Below are 17651 nucleotides of genomic sequence, written 5' to 3' on the forward strand. Positions count from 1 at the left end.
ACAGCCTTTCATTATTTCATAGTTTGGCCTCACCTCCCTTTCTAGCCTCCTCTCTCACCACTCACTGCATGCAGTGTGCAATCCACCTGGCACCTAGTCCTGGCTATGAGCAATTTCCCAAATGTGCTCAGCTTTTTTGTATCTCCATGTCCTGGCATGGGCTGTTCCCTCTGCCTGGATTCCCTTCAGCCTCCCTCCTGCATTCCCCTGGGCCCCTGCGTGCTCCCCACTCTCAGCTTAGTGTTAACTCGGGAAGCACAACCCCGTGGGTCCCGAAACACTTCATAATACCTCTCGTTGAAAGCGCTGGATTCCTGGTGTGCCCATGGCTCTAGGTCCCTGCAGAGTGATCCCCTGCTGGGAAGGCAGGGGTATGCATGGCCAGCACTTCCCATGGACCACTTCTTAATATTGATAAGTATTGCTGAATGATTGGGTACAGTATAGCCATTCAGTGTTCATGGGGGTGGGAGGATGTTTGTAGGGGTGTATGTGCATGGGAATATTTTAACATTGAAGAAAAAGTGAAGCCAGGTACAGTGGCTCACGCCTGTAATTCCAGGACTTTGGGAGACTGAGGTAGGAGGATTGCTTGAGCCCAGGAATTTGAGACCAGACTGGGCAACATAGAGAGACCCTGTCTCTATCCTGTATTCTGACTCCTCTGAATCCTCTAACCGTATGTATGCCTGCCATTTAATGCTGTTTTTCTTCTTAGGATTCAAGAAAAGAGAGACAGAGGTGTATGTTGGCAATCTTCCACTGGATATTTCTAAGGTATTTATTCTTCACAATAGGCTGCTTATCTTCCTTGGCCTTCCCATATGACTTAGTAACCTGCTAGTAACTTAATTTCCCCAGTTTTTAAAGACGTTTGAGAGCTATGATAGTGCAGACAGTCACTCGTTGGTGACTAGGGTAACCAATGCATCACAGTTTGCCTTGGACTTTCCCAGTTTTAGCACTGAAATTCTAATTTGACATCCTGGACAGTTAGTCCCACTCTTTATCCCTGTATACCTGGATGGTTGGTCAGCCTTCTTGTCATTTTGGGTTGAGGTAGCTTCTTTTTAGGAAGGGACCTTGTTAGGGCTCAGCTGCTGATCCTTTGGTAATGGGGAGCAGTTGGTTTCAGCCAAAAAAAATGACACCTATTTGACTGTTAAATGAGCTGGTTCAGTCAGTGCTGTGTTAGTGGGACTTAGAGAGTAGAATGTAAGCAATCGTATTTTTGACCCCAGGCACCTTACTGTCTATTTGGAGAGGCCAGACCAACAAACCTGAAATAATTATAAAACAATATAAGTGCTTAAATTTTGTAGTAAGTGTATTCGAAATACAGATGAAAGGAGAATGAAAGTGTGATCTATTGAATTGAAGCACCTCCTGACTTTTTTTTTTTTTTTTTGGCATCTACTACATGCAAAATATTGTGCCTGCAGTCTGGCATGCTTAAAGATAAACAACCTAGTCCTTGCCCTCAAGGAGCTCAATCCTGGAAGAAGGATGAGAGAAACTAACCTTTGTGGAACCCCTGCAGCATGCCAGACATTTTTCAAAATTTTCTTGTCTCCATTTTCCCTTGCTAACCAGTTCCACTCAATCATCTCTGCCTCGTTGTACCTTATTCCTTTACACTATTTACTATATTTTAACTGTCAGGCATGCTCTAGGAAAGAAGCTAAATGCTTTATTCATGTGGTTTTATTAAATTATTATTGTAACTCTGGGTGGTGGTAATGCCCCCATCTTGGAGATGAGGCAGCCAAGGCTCTGAGAGGTCACGTCCCGCAGCTAAGTACACAGACCTAGTGAGTGGTCAGCCAGGAGTGGAATCCAGGCTCAGTTGCTCCCAAGTCCCATGTTCTTTGCTTTGTGCCAAATCATGTAACCGATAAGATATGGAAATAACTCACCAAATAAAAGATGGACCATTATGTTTTGTCTGACAGAAGAAAATGTTATTGGAGCATAGTAAATCATTGTGATCCAATAAATGAAATCATATTCAATCAAAGGGGCAGGTTGGGGGATTCCTGGCACCTGATAGACGAGCCTACTAGGGCTGGTTTTCCTCCCCCATTTTGGCAGGCTGGTCCAACCTGTTACTTGACAGTGAAGTGGGCAGAGGAGCCCTACATGTGGTTCCTGCAGTGGTCTGGGGAGGTAAGATGCTGAGCAGTTCTGCCACCTCTCTCTTCCCCCCTCCCCAGTAGACCCCATTCCAGAGCCCAGCACCTGGGGCTTGCTTGGCCATACTGTCCCACACCATGGTAAGGGAACGTTTCATCCTTGTCCCCTTCGCAGAAAGCGGCAGCCCCTACCCATAGTGCCTTCTTTCGACTCAAACTCAGCCTCATAGGAAAGATTTGAGCTGTGCTTTAGAGAAGGAGTAGGGTTTTAAAAAGAAATTTCTAGACCAGGCATGGTAGTTTACAGCTATAATCCCAGTACTTTGGGAGGCTGAGGCAGAAGGATCACTTAAGTCCAAGGAGTTCAAGACCAGCCTAGGCAACATAGCGAGACCACATCTCTTAAAAAAAAAAAAAAAAAAAATTTTGAATGGTAACATTAATGCCCTGTCAACTGTCAAGAACTGTGAAATGGGCTGGGTGCGGTCGTTCATGCCTGTAATCCCAGCACTTTGGGAGGCTGAGGCGGGCAAATCACAAGGTCAGGAGATCGAGACCATCCTGGCTAACACGGTGAAACCCCGTCTCTACTAAAAATACAAAAAATTAGACGGGTATGGTGGTGGGCACCTGTAGTCCCAGCTACTCGGGAGGCTGAGGCAGGAGAATGGCATGAACCTGGGAGGTGGAGCTTGCAGTGAGCCAAGATCGTGCCACTGCACTCCAGCCTGGGCGACAGAGCGAGACTCCATCTCAAAAAAACAAAAACAAAAACAAAAAAACTGAAACGTCTAAGATTTTACCCTGATTACAAACTAACAAATTGGCCTGCAGCAGTTTCCAGGTTTCTGGTAGAAGACACGAGAATCTTGGGTCAGAGTTGAAAGATCATCTACTACAGTAGCCAGTATTTTAAAAAAACTTTTCAGGCCAGGCGCGGTGGCTCACGCCTGTAATTCCAGCGCTTTGGGAGGCTGAGACGGGTGGATCACGAGTTCAGGAGCTCGAGATCATCCTGGCTAACACGGTGAAACCCTGTCTCTACTAAAAATACAAAAAATTAGCGGGGCATGGTGGTGGGCGCCTGTAGTCCCAGCTACTCGGGAGGCTGAGGCAGGAGAATGGTGTGAACCCGGGAGGCGGAGCTTGCAGTGAGCTGAGATTGCGCCACTGCACTCCAGCCTGGGAGATAGAGCGAGACCCTGTTTCAAAAAAAAAAAAATTTAAAATATATATAATATTTACATATCTTAAAATTTACCATTAACTTTTTTGTTTGTTTGTTTGAGACAGGGTCTCATTTTGTCACCCAGGCTGGAATGCAGTGATGCGATCTCAGCTCACTACAGCCTCTGCCCTCAAGGCTCAAGCAATCCTCCCACCTCAGCCTCCTATGTAGCTGGGACCACAGGTGTGCACCACCATGCCTGGCTATTTTTTTGTGTTTTTAGTAGAGATGGGGTCTCACCATGTTGCCCAGTCTGGAAAATTTATTGTTTAAAAATGTACAATTCAGGCCGGGCGTGGTGGCTCATGCCTGTAATCCCAGCACTTTGGGAGGCCGAGGTGGCCGGATCACTTGATGTCAGGAGTTTGAGACCAGCCTGGTCAACATGGTGAAACTAATAATACTAATAATACAAATATTACTAATAATACAAATTATTACTAATAATACTAAATAATACAAAAATTACTAATAATACAAATAATACTAATAATACAAAAATTGGCCGGGTGCAGTGGCTCACACCTGTAATCCCAGCACTTTGGGAGGCTGAGGTGGGCAGATCACAAGGTCAGGAGTTCGAGACCAGCCTGGCCAACGTGGTGAAACCCCATCTCTACTAAAATACAAAAAATTAGCTGGGAGTGGTGGTGCGTGCCTGTAGTCCCAGCTACTCGAGAGGCTGAGGCAGGGGAATCACTTCAACCCGGGAGCTGGAGGTTGCAATGAGCCGAGATTGCGCCATTGGACTCCAGCCTGGCAACAGAGCAAGACTCCATCTCAAACAACAACAGCAATGCAACAAAAAACAAAAATTAGCCAGGCGTGGTGGCACACACCTGTAATCCTAGCTACTCAGGAGGCTGAGGCACAAGAATCACTTGAACCCAGGAGACAGAGGATGCAAGTGAGACGAGATCATGCCACTGCACTCCAGCCTGGGTGACAGAGTGAAACTGTGTCTGAAAAAAAAAAAAGTACAATTCAATTATTAATATATTCACAAGATTGTGCAGCTATTAATCCTAATTCCTGAATATTTTCATCACCCCCAAAATAAACCTCATACTCATTAGCGGTCCTTTGCCTTCGCCCTTCCTCCCAGCCCCTGGTAACCATGAATCTACTTTCTGTCTCTTAAGGATTTCCTATTCTGGACATTTTATATCAATAGAATCATACAATGTCGAATTTTGTGTTTTCTTTCACTAAGCATGTTTTCAGTGTTCATTTGTGTTAGAGTGTGTCTTAGTACTTTGTTCCTTTTTTGTTGTTGTTGTTGTTTGTTTTTGTTTTTAAGACGGAGTTTCACTCTTGTTGCCCAGGCTGGAGTGCAATGGCTCGATCTTGGCTCACTGCAACCTCCATCTCCCAGGTTCAAGAAATTCTTCTGCTTCAGTCTCCCGAGTAGCTGGGATTACAGGCATGCACCACCATGCCTGGCTAAATTTGTATTTTTGGTAGAGATGGGGTTTCTCCATGATGGTCAGGCTGGTCTTGAACCCCTGACCTCAGATGTTCCGCCTGCCTCAGCCTCCCAAAGTGCGGGGATTACAGGCGAGAGGTACTGCACCCGGTGACTTTTTCCTCTTTTAAGATGCATATCTTCTAGCTGTGTCTACTGAGAGACATTGGAGCTCTGATTACCCAGTAGCAGTAACACTCCTGGCCCATAGATTATGTTCTTTCCTGCTAAAGAGAACCAGGCCTTCTTAGAGAAATGGCTGATTCCAGATCTGGAGCTGTTATACCAGAAAGCTATCAAAGACTATTGAAGTTTGAATGAAAAGACAGAGGAGGTTTTATTCAGGGGTGGTTTATTTAGAGGTGGTGTTCTTAATTCTTGGAGTTTGTGCTGAAGTGTTTGCATGTGAAGCAATGTGGTGTTTGAGATTTGTTTCAGAATAGCCTAGTGGCCGGGAGAGATGTTATGATGAAACGGGAATGGCCATGAATTGAGAATTGCTGAGGCTGCTGAGTGATAGGCATATAGGGATTTGTAATACTATTTTATCTATTTTTGTTCTGATTTGAAAGTTTCCAAATAAAAAGACACAAGAGCAAGCAAAGAGGGTGTCCCATGCACCAAAGACGGAGCAATTTGAGCATCACGTACTACATTTGATTAAAATTCACCAATGATTTTAAAAAGCATTAATTTGTAGTGGTGTCTAAAGAAAAATAACACTGGACACAACTGAAAATGGAAAGATAATGGTTCATTAACATAAAACTTGATAATTAAAGAGAAGGAAGAAGTATTTATCTTGCTTTTCCAACACCAATGTAATAGCATTTTCAGAGCAAACAATCCTAGTGAATGAGAGAAAGTTCTTTACAGAAGAACTCTAGCTCATAAATGCAGAAGAAATGATAGAATTAGAAAATGACCATTGTGCAAACCCCAGTAAGATACCTGTTTCAGACAGTGGTTATCTGAGCTTGCTTAATTCATTAGGTAAAGTATTGATGGGCAGTTTTACAATGGATGGATTAGGATGTTACCATTTGAACTTGCTGACTAATTTTAGCCTCACTAAAAATGAGATAACCAGATATGAGCCCCCTAAAAAGTGATGCAAGATAAAGGCGACCACAGCATTTTAAAGTATTCCTATACTTTAAAAACCACCTATACTTTAAAAAACACCTATGCTAGTCAAGCTCTATAGCAGATTTGTAGTCAAAAGGAAATATAGGGAATAGAAGACCAAAATAATGCCGCCATAAAGCAGCAGCACTCTTGTCTATAGAACAGCTGACCTGATTTCTAGAACAATTCAGTCACGGAAAAATTAAAGTAGATCTGATAGAGATTTAAGGAGATTTAGAAGAGACTTAGGGGCTGTGTTTGGTGGCTCACGCCTGTAATCCTAGCAGTTTGGGAGGCCAAGGCGTGTGGATCACCTGAGGTCAGGAGTTTGAGACCACCCTGGCCAGTGTGGTGAAACCTCGTCTCTACTAAAAATACAAAAATTAGCCAGACACGGTGGCGGGTGCCTGTAATCCCAGCTACTCAGGAGGCTGAGACAGGAGAATTGTTTGAACTGGGGAGGCGGAGGTTGCAGCGAGCTGAGGTCACGCCACCGCATTCCAGCCTGGGTGACAAAGCAAGACTCTGTCTCAAAAATAAAATAAAATAGAAGAGACTTAGAAATGATAACGAAATACAATGATAGCCTTTGTCTTGATCCCGTTTTGGACAAAACAACCACAAAAAGACATTTCTGAGACAATTGGTGAGGTTTACCTGTTGATAGTAAGACATTATTGTTTTTCTTAGTTTGATAATGGTCTAGTGAGAAAATGCCTCTTTGAGGAGTAGGCTAAAGTATTTAAGGGTGAGATGACAGAATGCCCAGGATTCTGTAAGACACTGGTGAACAAGGGGTGGAAAGACAGGGGAAACACACGGAATGGGGGTGCTGGTAGAAGCATGGTGATGGGCTTGTGGGAGTTCATTGTACTCTCTACTTCTGTGTATGTTTGGAATTATTTTATAACAAAAAGTTACCTCCATCCAGAACCTGGCACCTATTGTCATGCCACTGCTCGCACCCCGGCCAACCCACTGCTGTCCCACCTGTATTACTGCCAGGGATCTTAGTTCATTTGTTTTTTTGTTTGTTTGTTTGTTTTTTGAGACAGGGTCTTGCTCTGTCACCCAGGCTGGAGTGCAGTGGTGCAGTTATGGCTCACTGCAGCCTCGACCTCCCGGGCCCAAGCAAGCCCCCTATCTCGGCTTCCCATGTAGCTGGGACCACAGGAACACATCACCATACCCAGCTTATTTATTTATTTATTTATTTATTTTTTTTTTTGAGACGGAGCCTTACTCTGTTGTCCAGGCTAGAGTGCAGTGGCGTGATCTCGACACACTGCAGCCTCCGCCTCTTGGGTTCAAGCGATTCTCCTGCCTCAGCCTCCTGTGTAGCTGAGGTTACAGACGTGCACTACCACACCTGGCTAATTTTTGTATTTTTAGTAGAGACGGGGCTTCACCATATTGGCCATGCTGGTCTCGAACACCTGACCTCAAATGATCCACCCACCTCAGCTTCCCAGAGTGCTGGGATTATAGGAGTGAGCCACCACGTTCAGCCTCTGGCTAATTTTTATGACAGGATTTCGCCATGTTGCTCAGGCTGGTCTCAAACTCCTGGGCTCAAGTGATCTGCCTGCCTCGGCCTCCCAAAGTGCTGGGATTACAGGTATGAGCCACCGCACCCAGCCAGCTCTTCTTGCTTCTTCCCTGCTCCCCTGCAGTCTAATCTTAACATAGCAGCCAGAGTGATCCCATAAAGTGGCAAGCAGGTCTTGGCCCCCCTCCACTCAGAAGCCTCCAGTGGCTTCCCTTCTTATTTAGGAAGAGCAGAATCCCTTGCGGCCCTGTGTGAACCGCTCCCTGTGCCCGCCTCACTCCTGCCTTCTTCCTTGTTTGCTCCACAGCAGGCTCTCTGGCCTCCTTGTTCAGCCCAGAACCTGCCATAGGGCCTTGCACCTATGGCACTGCTCTGCTTCGGAGGTGGCCTTCTCAGAGGCCCTCCCCGGCTCTTCTCCCTCAGTTGCAGCCCCCATTCTTCCTGTCCTTCCTGCTCTGTGTCTCCTTAATACTTTCCACCATCGAACTCACCACACCTGCTGCTTACTCCTCTTTTTTATTTTTTGAGATGGAATTTCGCTCTTGTCACCCTGGCTGGAGTACAATGGCATGATCTTTGCTCACTGCCACCTCTGCCTCCTGGGTTCAAGCGATTCTCCTGCCTCAGCCTCCTAAGTAGGTGGGATTACAGGCACCTGTCACCACACCCAGCTAATTTTTGTATTTTTTTAGTAGAGGCGGGGTTTCACCATGTTGGCCAGGCTGATCTCAAACTCCTGACCTCAGGTGATCTGCCTGCCTCGGCCTCCAGAAGTGCTGGGATTACAGGCATGAGGCACCGTGCCTGGCCACCTGCTACTTACTCCCCTTAGTGATGATCTCTTCCCCATAAAAGATGAGCCCAGCAGGGCTCTGCTTTCTGCACCTAACACATTTCTAGCACAGAGTGGGCACCTAATAAGTATCTATTGAATGAAAGAGTGAGAGGAAGTGAAGATAGCATAGATGACTTTTTCAAGGATTTTAGTCAAAAAGAAGAGTAGGAAGATGAAGTGGTAGCAGGAGGGGTGTATGGGGTCCAAGGCGTTATGTGTAATAAGTATTAATATGGCGAGTTTGTATGCTCATCCAGTGGAGAGGGAAACAGGTGCTGGAAAGAGAGGAGCTGATTTAGCGGCAGAGGCTTCGAGAAGGTGGGAAGGAAGGGATCGGGGCAGGGACAAGTCTTCCACATAGGGGGATGAGTACAGATATGGGGGTGGTGGGAGAATGGAAGTTCTCCTTTGGTTGCTTCTCTTTTCTCAGTGAAGTAAAAATCAGGGTTCTCTGCTGAATAGAAAGGATGTGCAAAGTGTGTGCGGTAGTTTTTTCTGGGAGACTGGGGGGCTGATGATGAGGAATAGGTAGTAGGAATGCCATGAAGTACTGGACATCAGGTAGTGATTGCAGTGATAGACCCTGGCACCTAAGCTGGTTAACGAGCACAGCAGGGGCCAGGAGCATTGCACGGTAGCTCACGCCTGTCATCCCAGCCCTTTGGGAGGCCCAGGTGGGTGGATTGCTTGAGCTTAGGAGTTTCAGATTAGCCTGGGCAACATGACAAAACCCCATCTCTACGAAGAATACAGAAGTGAGCCAGCCATGGTGGCACATGCCTGTAATCCCAGCTACTTGGGAGGCTGAGGTGGGAGGTTGGCTTGAGCCTGGGAGGCAGTGGCTGTAGTGAGCCAAGATCATGCCACTGCACTCCAGCCTGAGCAACAGAGCCAGACCCTGACTCAAAAAAAAAGGCACAGCAAGGACATTGTAGGTTCGGGTGGGACAGGACGGCTAGGAGAAAAGGGTCAGAGTCAGGAGTTTGCAGGAGGGTGGAAAGTGGTGGAGCCTGAAGGGTCACAGTACTGGGGAGTGTAGTTGGAGAACCAGAGGTGTGAGTGGGAAACATAGGAGGGGGTCAGAGAGCATGGGGTTCAAAGCTGTCATTTGGGGGTAGGCATTGGGAATGACCATGTCTGGGGTATGCCCTGGAAATCAGGGAGCTGAGGTGCTGGGCAGGTGGTTGTTGATCCCTTACCTTCTGTCTGCATATTTGTCTGTGGCTTGCTTTGATCATGTCCATGTTGGCATGTGCAGCTCTAGGCAGTAATTTTGGCTGTTACAATATTCTTTTGTATGAACCTACCACAGTGTGTTTACCTGCAAATAGACATTCCAATTCTTAGGTTGTACCTTATGAAATAGCTGATATTAGACCTTTTTTTTTTTTTTTTTTGAGACGGAGTCTCGTTCTTGTTGCCCAGGCTGGAGCGCAATGGTGCGATCTCGGCTCACTGCACCCTCTGCCCCCTGGGGTTTAAGGGATTCTCCTGCCTCAGCCTCCCAAGTAGCTGGGATTACAGGCATCCGCCACCACGCCTGGCTAATTTTGTATTTTTAGTAGAGACGGGGTTTCACCATGTTGGTCAGGCTAGTCTCAAACTCCTGATCTCAGGTGATCTGCCCACCTCAGCCTTCCAAAATGCTAGGATTACAGGCATGAGCCACCGCGCCCGGCTTGGACCATTTTTTTAATCTGCAAAATCATCAATTTCACATGGCTCACACTAATATTTTCCTAGTTTTTGCTTCCTCAAGCAGAGCTTCAGTGAACCGGCTTGTACGCATATCGGTGTGCGAGGTGCGAGTGCCTCTGGGACCTGTACTTAGGTGCAGGGCATCAGGGCCACACGGTCCTCACCGCTGGACCAGGAAGGGGACTGACTTGCACTCCCACCAGCAGCACAGGGTTCCTCTATCATGAATGTTTGGTGTTGTCCAACTGTTAAATTGCTGCCAGTTGGACGGGCATGAAATTACTTAGCACATAGGTGAGTGCAGTAACCTCCTGCCTGTCTGGCACAAAGTCAGTGGTCCATAAATGCTGATGCCTTAACTAATAGCAGGCTATCGATCCCTTAAACCATGTGGTTGGCGGTGATTGACTGGAAGGGATGTGTCTTTAAGTGAAATAGGTTAAAAGCAGAAGGTGCAGTATGATTTCATGATATTTATAGTAGATGTGCAGTGTTCATATTTTGGTGGCAGAATTATGGACAATACTTCTAGTTTGCTTATCTGTGTTTTTAAAAATATTCTACAACAAACATTCAATGTCTTTGTAATTTAAAAAATCCTAATAAGTTACTTTTATGATTTAAAATGAGATATGCACGAGGCAATTTTAGCTTAATGTACCAAGCCTCCTTTCAAATCTATAATTGATCAAAACTTTTTTTTTTTGAGACGGAGTCTTGCTCTGTCACCCAGGCTGGAGTGCAGTGGTGCGATCTCGGTTCACTGCAAGCTCCACCTCCCGGGTTCACGCCATTCTCCTGCCTCAGCCTTCTGAGTAGCTGGGACTGCAGGTGCCCGCCACCACGCCCGGCTAATTTTTTTTGTATTTGTAGTAGAGACGGGGTTTCACCGTGTTAGCCAGGATGGTCTCTATCTCCTGACCTCGTGATCTGCCTGCCTCAGCCTCCCAAAGTGCTGGGATTACGGGCAGGTGAGCCACTGTGCCCAGCCACATAGTAAGTACTTCATGCGTTGAAGGCCACTGTAGCCTGAAAGCAGCTGTAAACAATGAGTGAATGGATGTGCATGGCTGTGTTCCAATAAAACTTTATTTACAAAAAAAGGTGGTGGACTGGATTTGGCCCAAGGTTATGGTTTACTGATAACTGCCAAAATACTAGTTTTCTATTTTATTTTAGTAATGGTAAAACCTGAGAAGAAAACTATGGCTTTGCACAATATAATGGAAAAAAAATGTAGGATTTGAAGAGTCTGGAGTTCAAGTCCTAATTCTAAATTGGCTATATAGCCATAGAGACGTCATTTAACCTCTCTGATCCTTATTTTATGCCTCTGTGCAATGAGTATAGTAATAATGTGTACTTTATAGGGTGGTTGTGAAAACCAAATGGAATAAAGGATATGAAAGTGCTTGGTAAACTGAAAATGCTAAGCACACATTGCTCGTTCTCACGAATTGCTTGTTCAGCATCTTTTAGATTCATGTGTAATAAACATTAAATATTTAAGAGTAAAGCAAATTAGAAAATTTGCATGTAAATATAATATAAACATGAAGACTGAGAAAAATGAGTTATACATAATGCATTTCTATTTTCCTAAGCCAACAAAGTGACTTTGGAAGATGGTATAAATATCATTTTTTTCCAAAATAGGGTTTTCCAGAGAAAAATTGGTTTTCATCATGGTTGTGAAATTTTATAATCATTAACACTCTTGTGGGGAAGCCAAGGAAGGAGGAAGTATTGAGGGGTGCAGGCAGGAGGTGAAAGAGCTGAACCTGAAGTGAAGCCATCACAGTGGGCAGCGAGTGCATGTCTGTGACCTGCAAGAAAGCATTTCAGTAGGGCTGGAACCAGCCTAGCGCAGGCAGTCAGGAGGGAGTGGGCAGGGAGGAAATGGAGGCATTAGGTGGAGACGGCTCTTTCTACAAGTTTGGCAGAAAAGAGAAAAAATAGGGTGTAGTTCAAAAAGGCCTCAGGGTGGCATAGACCTTATCATAAAGCGGGGGAGGTTGGTGCCTCTGTGGAGACACCAACCCAAGCCCGCGGAGCAGGATGGGGAGGAGGGGATGGGGTGAGGAAGACGGCCTGAGGGCAGACTAGGAGAGGAGAAGGGTGTGGGGAAATGTTCCGGGAAGAGGAAGGGAACCATATCCCCGGGCAGAGGCCAGGCAGGGTTGAGAAGCAGTGAGGAGGAGGTACTCGCAAAGCTGTGGAAGTCACTTCTTCCTGGGAGCATACCCTGACCACCTCCTTTCCCTCCAAATCTGGATTAAATGACAGGCCGTGTGCGCCCATAGCCAGCTGTATGTGCAGTGATGAAACGGTGTGTTTAGTTAATTGTCTTGTCTGCATCGCTGCTTGGCTGGTGAGCTTCACTGAAGACAGGGCTGTGGCCTTTCTTGCCTATCCTACAAAACATGGCACGTACAGCACATAATAGATCCTCATTAAGTATGAGTTAAATTGAGTCCAGACTAGCTGGCTGGGGATCTGAAACCTTGAGAAGTGGTTGTAAGTTATGTCTCTGGGTCTCTCTCTTTTAAACCCTGCTGTTGTAGGAGGAAATTCTGTACCTTCTAAAGGACTTCAACCCTCTTGATGTCCACAAAATCCAGAATGGCTGCAAATGGTAATGACTGTTCTTTCTTTGTTTTCTTTGGGAAGCAGCTCCTTTCCTCCCTGTCCATTTTGCTGATGCACTCATGTTGCAGACTAGCCCAGCAACCGCCACGTCCACACCCACTCTGACTTGGCAAAGGAACATTTGGGAAACCCCCTTTCCATATTTAACCCTGTGACCCAGCAGCGAATACTGTCTTATCAACACAACCCTGGCTTAGAAGTCCAGAGACCTGGGTATATTTTTGGTCATGTCCTTGCTGTATTTTCTGACTTGAGATAAGTTACTATACCACCCTAAGCCTTAGTTGTTCCTGAAAACCAAACCTACTTATATTTTCCCTTTCTTATTTTCAAGGCAGTAAAAAGTGCTTTGAACGTTTGTTTGTTTGAGACAGGGTCTTGCTCTGTCGCTCAGGCCGGAGTGCTGTGGTGCAGTCTCGGCTCACTGCAACTTCCACCTCCTAGGCTTAAGCAATCCTCCCACCTCAGCCTCCGAAGTAGCTGGGACTACAGGTGTACACCACCACATCCGGCTAATTTTTGTATTTGTTTGTAGAGATGGGGCTTTGCTATGTTGCCCAGACTGGTCTGGAACTCCTGGGCTCAAGCGATCCGCCTGTCTTGGCCTCCCAAAGTGCTGGGATTGCAGATATGAGCCACCACACCTGGCTTGCTTTGAACTTTTGGGGCAGTAGTATTAAACTCAAAGTCATAGACATACGATGCATAGTGAAAGTCAGCTCATTTCTTCTGCTCCTTAGAGGCCCATGACAGTATCTCACACTGGCCCAGCCCCAAGTCTGGACATACTTGTAGCTTGCTTGTGAACAGTTCATCTTCCATCACTGCAGAGAGAAAGGACACTGGCCTTCCAGCTTGGGCTTGGTGCCTCCCTGCAGCTCTGGGCTTCTCTGGAGATGTGCTCAAAGCCTCCCTCTCTCTCTTCCCTTTTCAGCTTTGCATTTGTAGATCTGGGCTCCATGCAGAAAGTGACACTTGCAATCCAGGAGCTGAATGGTAAACTCTTCCACAAGCGAAAACTGTTCGTGAATACAAGCAAAAGGCCCCCCAAGAGGACCCCTGATATGATCCAGCAGCCTCGGGCCCCGCTGGTATGTCTTCTGGCCTTTCTGCTCTGGGGCGTTCCATTTTCACCCTTTAGAGCGTGGCTGACTTTGCTTTCAGTGCTTTCATCCTCCTCCAGTCCAGTCTGACTGTGGAGAAGAAGGCAGGGTCTCGGGTGAAGTCAGGGAACTTTTATGACCTTTAACAGTCAGAGGTAAGGTCAGATGTGGAAAACTTGGAATTTGTAAATTAAGGAGACTATATTTTTGGCAAGGATAAAAAGGGCCATTAGGCAATTCAGTCAGGGCTTTTTCAACCTGGAATATTGAAACTTAGGTTTTCATTGTTAATGTAGCAGACATTGAGTGTCTACTGTTTGTACAGCCTTGTTCTGGCTGCTGGTGTGAAGTGTAAGACAAAAGTCAATAAAATCCAGCTCTTCCTGGCAGGAAGATAAACGTTGCCAAATATGAGGTATGGGGGGCAGTTAATGGTGGAGGCTGCCTCTGCAAGCAGAGAAGATAAGGTCCATAACTAACCCCTGGGAGCTTCCCTCAAAAGGAGGAGGGCCCATTCTCCGTATGCAGAGGTGAACCAGGAGAAAAAGATCCCATTCCAGAGCCTGAAGTGTTAGTGCTAGAAGCCGACTTGGCTGCACATACGAGGAAATCTGAACAATAGTAGCTTAAACAAGTTAGCGATTTGTTTTTCTTTCCTATAGAAGTCAGGAGGTAGGGAGTCCAGGGTTGCTATATGGTGGTATCAGGGTTCTAGGCAGGAAGAAGGGGAGAAGCAGAGGGCAAAAGGGGCCTGTGTCCTCTTAAAAGGTGCATTTTCCAGAAGCCCTGACCACAGTTCTGCTTGTGTTTCACTGGATGTCCCCGTAACTCATGGCCTTAAGTGCACAGATGCTGAGAGATGTAGTTTTAAAAGATAGACACATTGTTGCTAAACTTGGGGTTCTGTCAGCAAGGAAGCAGAGCATGCATATGGCTGGCAGTTAACAAGGTCAGCCACAAAGCTGGAGAGGTTGGAGGTGGAAGCCGAGAGATGGGTTGGAATTATTGACTACAGTCAGATTTTCAGAGGTGGCCCAGGCGCACTGGCTCACACCTGTAATCCCAATGCTTTGGGAGACCGAGGCAGGAGGATGGCTTAAAGCTAGGACTTTGAGACCAACCTAGCCAACATAGCAAGACCCCATCTCTATAAACAGGAAAAAAAAAGATTGTCAGAGGTGACTCCCTTTGCTAATTTCAAACTCTTTCTCTTCCTTTCTCTCTTAAGCCCTCTTTGAAAGGGCAGACTGTCAGACTATACTGCTTAGGAACCTTCCTGGCAGCAGTTGTCTGCTCTTCTCTGTGTTATGCCCTTCACTGAAAACTTCAGCTTCTGGCTCATTATCTTTCTGTCTTATTATCATGCAAATTTAGCATCCATGTGGATGATTCGACTAAGAGTCCAGTCACTTACTTCCTGGACCATTGTATCTTTTTTTTTTGAGACAGGGTCTCATTCTGTTGCCCAGGCTGGAGTGCAGTGGAGTTATCTCAGCTCACTGCAACCTCTGCCTCCTGGGTTCAAGGGATTCTCCCACCTCAGCTGGGACTACAGGTGTGAACCACCATGCCTGGCTAATTTTTATATTTTTTCGATAGAGACAGGGTTTCACCACGTTGACCAGGCTGATCTCGAACTCCTGACCTCAAATGATCCGTCCACCTCAGCCTCCCAAAGTGCTGGGATTACAGGCATGAGCCACTGCACCCCACCTGGATTGTTGTGTCTTCCTAATGATTTTTTCTTCCACTTGGTCACAGTTTCTCATCCCCCTAGCTGTATTTCAGACCTTGTGATTGCTGTAACCATTTCAAGCATCCCACTCTGCGCTGTCCCCCAGTCTTTGCAGCTCTCTTACTCTGGAAGAATGGTTCTCAAGCTTTAACAAGCATCAGAATCAACAAAAGGGTTTGTGAACACAGTTTTCTGAGCCCTAGCCCCAGCGATTCTGACTCAGTACATGTAGGGTAGGGCCTGGGAATTAGCACAAGCTTCAGGTGGTGCTGATGCTCCTGGCCCTGGGACCACATTTTAGTAGCAAGGCTCTACAGCCTCAGTCCAACAGTTGATGCATTGGCTCACGTAGGCACACAAAGTCTGCTGACCCCACCATTTCTTCATTATTCAATATTCTCTTTGTTCTCTCATTTCCCTCTTAGCCTAGATTCTATAGTCAATAACTACCTTAGTTCAAACATCTTTAACTCCATTGCCCTTTTCTCACTAGGTTATAGCTTGCAGAACACTAATCCTAGTTGGACCCAGCCCTCTGCCTGTTCTGAACTCACCCTCTGAGCCCCTGAAGACATTCACACAACCTTGCTAACTGGTCTCAGTATATGTGCATGGTCACAGGCTTTCCCACTCTTCCAAACTGACCTGTTTTGGAATTCTCTGATCTTTTCTCCTCCTATGTCCAATCTGCTCTTAAGCCCATCTAATGAATGTTCTATTTTAGATATTTTTCAACTTCCATTTTATTCTTTTTTCCCATTTCTCTGCTGGACTTTTTCATCTTTTCACCTATTTTGTCTCTTTTTTAAGATTAACATTTTTATAATAGTTATTATAAAATCATTTTCTGCTAATTCCAACATTTGAGTCATTTGTGGATCTGCTTCTGTTGACATTTATCCCTTGATTATGGGTAAAATTTTCAGGCCCCTTTACAAATAGTTTTCTGTTTTTTCCTGAGACAGGGTGTTGCTTTGTTACCCAGGCTGGAGTGCAGTGGCTCAGTCATAGCTCACTGCAACCTCCACCTCTTGGGCTCAAGCCATCCTCCCACCTTAGCCTCCCTAGTAGCTGGGACTACAGGCATGCACCACTATGCCTGACTAATTTTTGTATTTTTTGTAGAAATGGGGTTTCGCCATGTTGCCCAGGCTGGTCTCGAACTCCTGGGCTTAAGTGATCTGCCCACCTTGGCCTCTCAAAGTGCTGGGATTATAGCCATGAGCTGAGCCACTGCACCCAGCCTATAGTAATTTTTTATTGTATGTTGGATATTATGGATGCTATATCATGGAGACTTCTATTACTGTCCTCTAAATGGTGTTGAAATTTTTCTAGCAAAGATTAAATTACTAGCAGATCTTTTATCCTATTAAGGGTTTTTGTGTGTGTGTCATAGTTAGGATTGGAATGTTCCATTGTGAGTCTTTTTCTTGGGTAACACCATTTTTCCTAAGACTTGGCTTTTGTAGGGTCTCAGGTGAGTGCTCCGGGTGCTTGCCAAGGTCTGTCCCCCTTGCTGGGTTGGAACTCCATTGTCTCCAGCACTGTGAGACCTCTGGCATCTGTGTCTCTCTCAGAGCCCTCTCCCCCACCTTCACAGCGACTGTTCTCTTTAAGGCCTCCCGGTACTTGTCCCACACCACGGACAGCTTAGGCCTCAACCAAGGACCTGAGGCAGACACCTAGATTCCTTGGACTTCTGTGTGGCTCCTTCCTCTCTGGTCCTCTGTCCCCAAATTCCTGTCACCTAAACTCTGTTGCTGCCCAATGAGACTGCCACTTTCTGCTTGGGCTCTGTTTCCCTTTGCTGTGGTTTGGGAAAATGCCCCCAGGCAGAAGGTCAGGGTGAATGTGGTGCTCACATGCTTTCCTTTGCTCAGGAAACAGCCCTCTGCCATTCACTCTCATTAGTCCTGTGCTGGAAATGGTGAGTTCCTGTATTTTGTCTAGTTTTAGAGTTGTTTGGGGTGAGAGTTAAGTTGTGTCATGCCAGAACCAGATACTGGGAAAGAGAATCATGGCTCTCACCTTTTTTTCTCTTGGGATAAAGATGATTTCCCAGTATTCCCACTGCTTTTAAATTAGAAATAAGTACACAAAAGCTGAACATAAAATCCCCATAAATG

General features: G+C 45.9%; 1 protein-coding gene across 11 annotated transcripts in view; it reads left to right on the forward strand.

Annotated features, from left to right (window-relative positions):
* TDRD10 (tudor domain containing 10) overlaps window positions 1-17651 on the forward strand; it is a 45929-nt gene that overhangs the window by 5486 nt on the left and 22792 nt on the right. For 7 of the 11 annotated variants that reach the window (XR_007076385.1, XR_007076384.1, XM_011509152.3 and 4 more), the window contains exons 4-7: window positions 719-777; window positions 2092-2166; window positions 12600-12670; window positions 13619-13775. Coding sequence is in view for 9 of the 11 variants with exons in the window: in XM_011509152.3 (XP_011507454.1) it covers window positions 719-777; window positions 2092-2166; window positions 12600-12670; window positions 13619-13775 (362 nt within the window). In the remaining 2 variants the exon portion in view is untranslated. The remainder of the gene's footprint in view (window positions 1-718; window positions 778-2091; window positions 2167-12599; window positions 12671-13618; window positions 13776-17651) is intronic. The other 4 variants (XM_011509156.3, XM_011509157.3, NM_001098475.2 and 1 more) reach the window with 1 other exon arrangement.

This window comes from Homo sapiens, chromosome 1 (genome assembly GCF_000001405.40).
Source record: "Homo sapiens chromosome 1, GRCh38.p14 Primary Assembly".
Taxonomy (NCBI): Eukaryota; Metazoa; Chordata; class Mammalia; order Primates; family Hominidae; genus Homo; species Homo sapiens.